At 46.5% G+C, this 8,299-nt stretch overlaps 1 annotated feature.

The window, feature by feature from the left end:
* Positions 4,465 to 5,664: an enhancer, noted in NCBI's record as "P300/CBP strongly-dependent group 1 enhancer chr11:134721213-134722412 (GRCh37/hg19 assembly coordinates)". NCBI's record gives its function as "activates an origin of replication core promoter dependent on BRD2, BRD4, P300/CBP, MED14 and CDK7 cofactors, with strong dependence on P300/CBP, by STARR-seq in HCT116 cells {active_cell/tissue: HCT116}" and the evidence as "EXISTENCE:reporter gene assay evidence [ECO:0000049][PMID:35650434]".

Here is an 8,299-nt window from a genome sequence, read left to right as displayed (position 1 = left end):
AAAGAAGGCAACTTCATGACATGTTAGTGAAGGGTGGGTGGGGGCTGCATATCATTGAGGTAGAGGCACGGGCCAGGCCCTGCACACAGTAGACTCTGTGTTTACGGAGGCCTCATTCAGGTGGCAGCCAGGCACACTCAGGTGCCAGGAGCAGACGCCGTCCAAGAACCCTCCTCAGAAGGGCTGCCCCTATGGAGCACTGAGGTCCCAGCCACGCTCTGCCTGCACTGACCACCTCGGGCAGCAGGAGGACTGGATGGAGGACCGAGGTCCCAGCCACATTCTACGTGCACTGACCACCTCGGGCAGCAGGAGGACTGGATGGAGCACTGAGTCATCGAGCTCACCGCCACCAGTAGGAGGGCTCCCTGCTTTGCAGGGCTGTCACCAGCCACCTTGCAGGCACAGACCCAGCCTGCACCACTGCCAGGAAGCATTTTCCAAACTCCCTGTGCCTTGCTGGGCCTGGAGCACCCTGATGCCCTTGGCTTTCCACTGGGATTTCTCTGCCAGGGAAGCTGCCCATTCTGTGGCCTCAGCCCCTGCACGACAGCAGGTTCCCTTCACTGCAAATTCCTTTTCCCTGATTGAAATTCTTCTCCTCCTCCTCCCAGGTCAATTGAAATACTGTCTCCTCCGTGGATCCTTCCAGACATGTGTTCTCTCATTCTGAAGTAATTGTTTCTTCCTCTTGGCTCCACTGTACTTTGTTTACAACATTTCTATGGATTTATCTTTTCTGGCAGTGTGTCACTACCATCTGTGTATACTTATTAGCTCCCCATAAGATTGTAAACCACCCATGTGTAGGGATTATCTTTGACTCTTCTTTGCCCCTTCCATATTATCCTGTAGGAAACTGTTTCCTCCTAAGGCCCAGCACAGTGCCCCACAGATAAAAGATGCCCGGGAAGTGTTTGTTGAGTGACTAGTAGATGGGAGAGAGGAAACTGAGGCACACAGCACACAAAGATCAAGAGACAAATAGTCAACTCTATAGGACTGTGAACCCAGAAAGTCTGAGACAGGTCTCAGTTAATTTAGAAAGTTTATTTTCCAAGGTTGAGGACGTGCCCGCGACAGCCTCAGGAAGTCCTGACGACACATGCCCAAGGTGGTCGGGGCACAGCTTGGTTTTACACATTTAGGGTCACATGAGACATCAGTCAACATGTAAGAAGTACATTGTTCGGTCTGGAAAGGCGGGGAGGCTGGAAGCAGGGAGGGAGCTTCCAGGTCACAGATAGGTGAGACACAAATGGTTACATTCTTCTGAGTTTCTGATTAGCCTCTCCAAAGGAGGCAAATCGGATGTGCATCCATCTCAGTGAGCAGAGGAGTGACTTTGAATAGAATGGGAGGCAGGTTTGCCCTAAGCAGTTTCCAGTTTAAGTTTTCTTTAGTGATTTTGGGAGCCCAAGATAATTTCCCTTTCATAGGACATACCCACACTTGGGCCTTCTGACTCTGAGTCCTGTACCCTTTTTACCAAAAGAAATCCATTTAAAATTTTCATCATTATTTTAAAGGCAGAAATGTTTTCCTGGGACCCCATCATCATTAACAAACATGGTTTGTTTCTATTGAGGCTTCTGGTCGCCTCTCTACCCTAAAGCATTGCTGCTCACCTTTAGGGAGGGTGCAGAACCTGACATGGGGCTTTCTCTATGCCAGGCTGTGTGCCTTTCCTGAGGATGGGGGCCGGGTACCCAGTTATTGATCCTCCCAGGCTTCCAAGGGGTTGAGCAAAGCACAGGTGGCTGGGACCCTGGGGACAGTAACGCCCAAGCATACAGGCCCAGTCTTAATGTTGTCTATGCTTGTATAATGTGCAAATGGCCAGGATACACAGCGACAAACTCTCACCAACATCCCCCCACCCCACCTTGCGTGCTCTTGTGTGCTCACACAGCACCTGCACACACACACACACATACAAGCACCTGCCCCTTGAATTGGCACTGGCTCCCAGAATACCTTTCCAAGCTGGGTCACTAAATAAACTCCATAAGAAATCTGTCAAGATGAAAATTAGTAAGATGCCCCATCATCATAGCTTTATCAAAGTTCCCTTGATAAAGTAGTACAAGAGCAAACCTTCCAAGAGGAAATGCTCACCACTGGGAGGGAGACCCACTGAGGGGCCAGGAGTGAGCCAAGCACCCTTCAGTACTGAACAGGTCCGGCAGGGTTTTAGGAACTGCGTATGTAATAACTCAGGCCTGTCCAGTTCTCCACTCCCAGCCCCAGCTCACTCCTACTACACACTAGATTTGCAATCCTGAGATGGCTGCCTAATCTCTCCATTTCTTGGATTCTCACTTCCCTCGAGAGAAACGCCCACCTGCCTGGGGCTGTCCCTGCACATTCTGCACATGGAGATGTGTTTCAGCTCCCCTCCCGCTCCTGAGATTCTCCCTGTTTAGATAATCCCTAACAGCACCAGACGGCGAGACAGCCAAGGCATTTGATGACTCTGTAAGTGTCAGACAGAGCTAAGATTGAAGGTGAGGCCAACCTGTTCTGTTTGGCATTAGATGAAGCTTGAGTGTGATCAGGGGTCCAGCCACCTCCTCTTTTCTGTGGTTCAAGGTGTTAGAAATGTACCTTTCTCAGGCAAGACGCAATTCTACATAAATTCAAGAATTTTTGCCTGTAAAAGTTCATGTTGGCCCAGAGATGAGAAATCTGAGCCAATTTAATACCTTCCTTCGAACATATGCTGTTTTTGGTTCCAATTGTCCCTTGCCAGCTTTCCCTGGCTCTGAAAAGAAGCAAACCAAAGGTTCACATTTGGACTGATTCGTGCTCAGGTCCAACCAACCTGTGCAGACCCAGGAGCCAGGCGCTGTGCCAGGCACGTTGACAGTGTTTGATCTCAGAGACTGAGTTTAGATTTTAGAATCAATTGAGTGAAAGGTGTATTAAATAACCATATTTTGTCAAGTTTCTCTATTAATTTTTTGAAACCTGTCTCCCTCTCTATTCCTACTGCCTCTGCAAATTTGAGGCCTTTGTCATTTCTGTGGGCTATTCACAGGGGGTCCCCAGCTGCTAGGCTCACCCCATTCACACCATCCTTCACACAATACCGACCATCCTTCCCCAAAATTCAAGTCCCCCTCTAATAAAAGCCTTTGTGGCTCCAAATTGCCTGCAGAATCCAAGCCTTCTGGATGCATCTTCTCAGCAGAGAAAGGGAGCGTTACGAGTTCAGACCGACACATGGTTCTTGCTCCTTCTGCAGACCCTTCACCCGCCCCTGCTCCCACTGTTACCAGTCTGTTTCCTCTCTTCAGGTGGCATTCACTTCCAAGTCCTATCTTCATGTCCCTCCTTTCCCTTGAGTAGCCTGGCTTCATCATTCACCCAGTCAAGTTCAACACATTTTTTTTTTAGATGGAGTTTTGCTCTCGTTGCCCAGGCTGAAGTGCAATGGTGCGATCTCGGCTCACCACAACCTCCGTCTCCTGGGTTCAAGTGATTCTCCTGCCTCAGGCTCCCAAGTAGTTGGAATTAGAGGCATGCACCACCACACCTGGCTAATTTGTATTTTTGATAGAGACGGGGTTTCTCCATGTTGGTCAGGCTGGTCTCAAACTCCCGACCTCAGGTGATCCACCTGCCTCGACCTCCCAAAGTGCTGGGATTACAGGCATGAGCCACCACACCTGGACAAGTTCAACACATTTTTTAAGACCAACTAGAAGGAATGACGGCCCTGGCCTGAAGCTCTCCCCAGCACCCTCTTAACACCCTGCAAGCTACACAAAACCCCTCGTCTCCATTCCTACCGCTCTTTGTTCCTCCCCCTACTGCAGCCCTCTCCACCGCGCAGGCAGACCCTGCAGGGCAGGACCTCGGTGTGTTTCTCTTGGTGTTGTATGAGGCATAACCTTGTTCCCTCTTTGCACTGTGAGAGACCTCAGAGATGAGTTATATGGAGACCTTAATTTCTCAGGTTAAGAAGCTGTGACCCAGCTATGTATTCATACATTCATTCTCTAATTGAACTGTGACATGGTAAATATTTATTGAGAACTTTCTACGTGGCTGTTTCTTGGTGCTGGGGATGCAGGCATTAATAAGACAGGAAAGGCCCTGCCCTCATCGGGCTAACAATCTGGAAGCAGTGGTCTCGAGTGATGGGAGATGAGTTGACAGAGACCCAAATACAATAACTTTAGATAGCAAGGAGTGCACAGTGTCAGGAAAGAAAGTGTCTGGGTTTGGGTGACTTGAGTCTTCTAAATCCCAGGTGGCCAAGAAAAGGTTCTCTAATGCTAACATCTCTGAGCTGAGATCCAGCAATGAGAAGTTGCCAGCCACATGAAGTGAGGGACTGGCATTCTTGAAAGAGAGATGTGCAGGTGCACAGGTCCTGAGGGTGGGAAGGGTTTGGCTTGTTCTGAGACGCTGGAGCTTCATAAGTGAAAAGGACAGAGAGGGTGACGGGAGAGGGACCAAGGCCAGACTGCAGAGGTCCTTGTAGACCATGGCAAAAATTTTGATTCTATGACCAAGTCAGTTGAAATGCAGTTGAGAGTGAAGGCATCTGATAATTTTTTTGTAATCCTACAACTTTAGGAAAGACTGTTGCCTAGCCATGGTTACAAGTTGCCCACAGAACTAATTTTAAATTTGCTCAAGCGGTCAAGACCGCAATCTTCAGTGAACACATCTCTGCAAGCCGACTGGGGTCAGGCCCTCCACCCAGAAAGTTAGGCCTGGAAAGCCTCCAATAAACATGCCTCCCAGTGCCAGCCAATGACAGCAATAACCCTGCGTCTGCAGATGAGAGCAGTGCTCTTTCATCCACTGAAAACCTTTGTGAGGTCACCCCTTACGCCGCTCAGAGAGACGGTGCCTGACTCGCATAGCTCTCCTTTACTATAGTAAACGTTTGTGAGATCACCCCTTACGCCGCTCAGAGAGATGGTGCCTGACTCACATAGCTCTCCTTTACTATAGTAAACCTTTGTGAGATCACCCCTTACGCCGCTCAGAGAGGCGGTGCCTGACTCACATAGCTCTCCTTTACTGTAGTAAACCTTTGTGAGATCACCCCTTACGCCGCTCAGAGAGGCGGTGCCTGACTCACATAGCTCTCCTTTACTATAGTAAACGTTTGTGAGATCACCCCTTACGCCGCTCAGAGAGATGGTGCCTGACTCACATAGCTCTCCTTTACTATAGTAAACGTTTGTGAGATCACCCCTTACGCCGCTCAGAGAGATGGTGCCTGACTCACATAGCTCTCCATTACTGTAGTAAACCTTTGTGAGATCACCCCTTACGCTGCTCAGAGACTGTACCTGACTCCCATAGCTCTCTTTTACTATAGTAAGCAGTTAACTCAACCTTGCCCTTTTATTTCAGATAGTAAATGTTGCCCTCATCAACCTTTGACAGTTCTCGAACATTCTACCAGATTATTTTGAAGTCCCAGAATTTGTAACCAAGCAGGTCTTCATATAAGGGTGACAGAATTAAGTCTTTGTAAAGGGTACTTAGCCATAGGCCTTTGTATTCAGTAATTAGAACTTTGATTTAGAAGTACACCATTCAGTAATTAGACCTAAGTTTTTGAATAAAGCCGGGTTTCTCAATGTCAGCACTACCACCGTTTTGGACTGGTAAATCTCTGCTGTGGTCTTGTGCACTGTAGGTTGTTTAAAAGCACTTCTGGTCTCTACCCACTAGATTCAACCAGCAACCTGTTTTGAATGAAGCTATATCAGTTTAGCTGGTAACTGCTATTCCCAGCAGCTGGGAGGCCCAGACAAAAGAGCTGCTGCCCTTCAGGGGTCTGATTCTGGGCACAGCTTCAAGGACACAACAAGAGAAGGGACCCACTCCCAAGAGATGTCCTGTGGGAGCTTTAATTGGTGGGTTTAAAGCCAACCGGCATGAGTTCCAGGAGGTCACGCTGTGACTGAGAGGTGGTCCCTTTGAGTTTCAGGCAAATGTCTGAATGGCCCTTTTAAAGGCAAGGCAGGAAAGTGGAGCCCAGCCTGCCAGGCAGGAGAGATGCCTCTGCTGTTTATCTCTGTCCACCAGCTACTGCCATTTGGGTGGTTATAGTATGGGAAACTGTGTCAAGAGTGACTGAGCCCTGCTTCACAGAGGTATAAAAAAATTAAAGCTATATTTAAAAATGGATGCAAAAGCAGCATAAAATTACTCACTCACTACACACTACTTCCTCATATGTAGCCAACAACACCGTCTCAGGGCACTGCAAAACGCTCCCTGAGGTGTAAAATTGCCCCACTTGTGAACTGCTGATATAAGGTTATTAGCTGTTTTGTTTTGGAAACATAGTATTTAGAAAATATTTTTTATTAACCAGATTATTTCCTGCTGTTTGCTTTGCTTTTGCTTATCTATGTGATAAAATCTTGTTTCATGTGGTTTTGTTTTGTCTTGAATTGTCCTTTTTCTTTTGAATGTTTAAGAAAGTGTTCCATGGGGAATGGATGGAGGGTAGACTATAAAAGTAATCAATCAATTCCAAGCTTGTCCTAGGAACATAGGGCAGAAATTAGACCTGCAACATGCTTGTTACTAAGAATTGCTCAAACTTTGCTTTGGGTTCCCCAGAAGATCTTCCCGCGGGCACGCCTCATTTTGTCAATTTGTGAGAGAAAATTACTAAAAGTTCATATCTTGGAGTCAGCAATTATCAAGGAATTAATTGCATGGCTCCCTCCTCTCCTCTGGTTTGAAAGCCCAAAACACCATTCACAGCCCACATTAGTGACACCATGGTGTCTTTTTCTTGTTTGTCATGAATTTGTTATCAGGTTTCAGCTAACTTCTCTGTAAAGGAACAGATAGTAAGCAGTGTAGGTTTTGTGGGCTACACCATCTCTGGGGCAACTCTTCAACTCCACCTTTGTAGCACAAAAGCAGGTATAGACACTACATAAACAAATGGTCTTGCTGTGTTCCAATAAAACTTTATTTACAAACGCAGGTGGCAGGTGGGACGTGGCCTGAGGGCAGTAACTCACTGAGCTCCGGCAGCAATTTTCCTAACCCCTCCTGGAAACACTTCTGCTTCCTTTATAAAGTTGCACTATAATCTTTGCTCTTGTACTATATTGATAAATGACAATAAAAATTAAAAGACTTACTGTAACAATGGCTATTATGGGAATGCTTTGAAATGTCAAAATGAATGAATTTTTATCTTACAAGAAATTCCAACATTATCAAGAGTCAAAACACCAAATATCCAAAAGTCAGCTTTGTCATTGGTAGGCTGGGGTCTCAACATTCTAACTCAAAGATTGTGCGTCTCAAAGATTCCATGGCCTCTGAAACATACCCTCCCTGTATCTCTCTTTCTATAGAATTCAGGATTTTGTTAGAATCTTTTTCTTTCTTTCTTTCTGAGATGGAATCTCACTCTGTCTCCTAGGCTGGAGTGCAATGGTGCTATCTTGGCTCACCGCAACCTCTGCCTCCTGGGTTCAAACTATTCTCCTGCCTCAGCCTCCTGAGTAGCTGGGATTACAGGCATGCACCACCATGCCCGGCTAATTTTTTATTTTTAGTAGAGATGGGGTTTCTTCATGTTGGTCAGGGTGGTCTCGAACTCCTTATCTCAGGTGATCAGCCCACCTCGGCCTCGCAAAGTGTCGTGATTACAGGCGTGAGCCACCACACCTGGCCTAGAATATTTATATGCTAGACAACAGTTGAATTACTTGGAAAGACAAAAGACACAAGATTAAATCAACCATATGTGTAAAATTTTAAAAGTAATACAAATGATTTAAACAATAAAAGTAGAAAAACACGACTGTGATAAACAAAATTAAATACTGTCTGCCCCAAGGGTGTCCTCATCCTAATCCCAGAACATGCAAATAAGTTAAGTTGCATGGCAAAGGGAAGTTAAGATTGGGATGGAATTAAGGTAGCTAAATCGGCTGATTTTTAAAAAGGGGGATTATCCTGGATTATCTAGGTGGGATCAGTATAATCACAGGGGCCTTACATTGGAAGAGGAAGGCAAAAGAGTCCATGTTGATGTGATTCAGTTTGAGGAAGAGTCAACCCAAGATTGCTGGCTTTGAAGATGTGGAAGGGCCACCAGCCAAGGAATGCGGATGCCCTAGAAGCTGGAAAGGCAAGGCCACAGCTTCTCCTGAGACTCCAGAAGGAAACAGCCCTGCTGACGCCTTCGGTTTTAGCCTGGTGAGGCACCTTTTACCTTTCGAATTTCAGAACTGTAAGATAATAAATTCGTTTAGTTTTAAGCCGCTGTGTTTCTGGCAGTTTGTTACAA

Source organism: Homo sapiens, chromosome 11, assembly GCF_000001405.40.
Source record: "Homo sapiens chromosome 11, GRCh38.p14 Primary Assembly".
Taxonomy (NCBI): Eukaryota; Metazoa; Chordata; class Mammalia; order Primates; family Hominidae; genus Homo; species Homo sapiens.
Note: the sequence above shows the minus strand (reverse complement) of the source record. Positions and strands in the feature narration are given on the sequence as shown.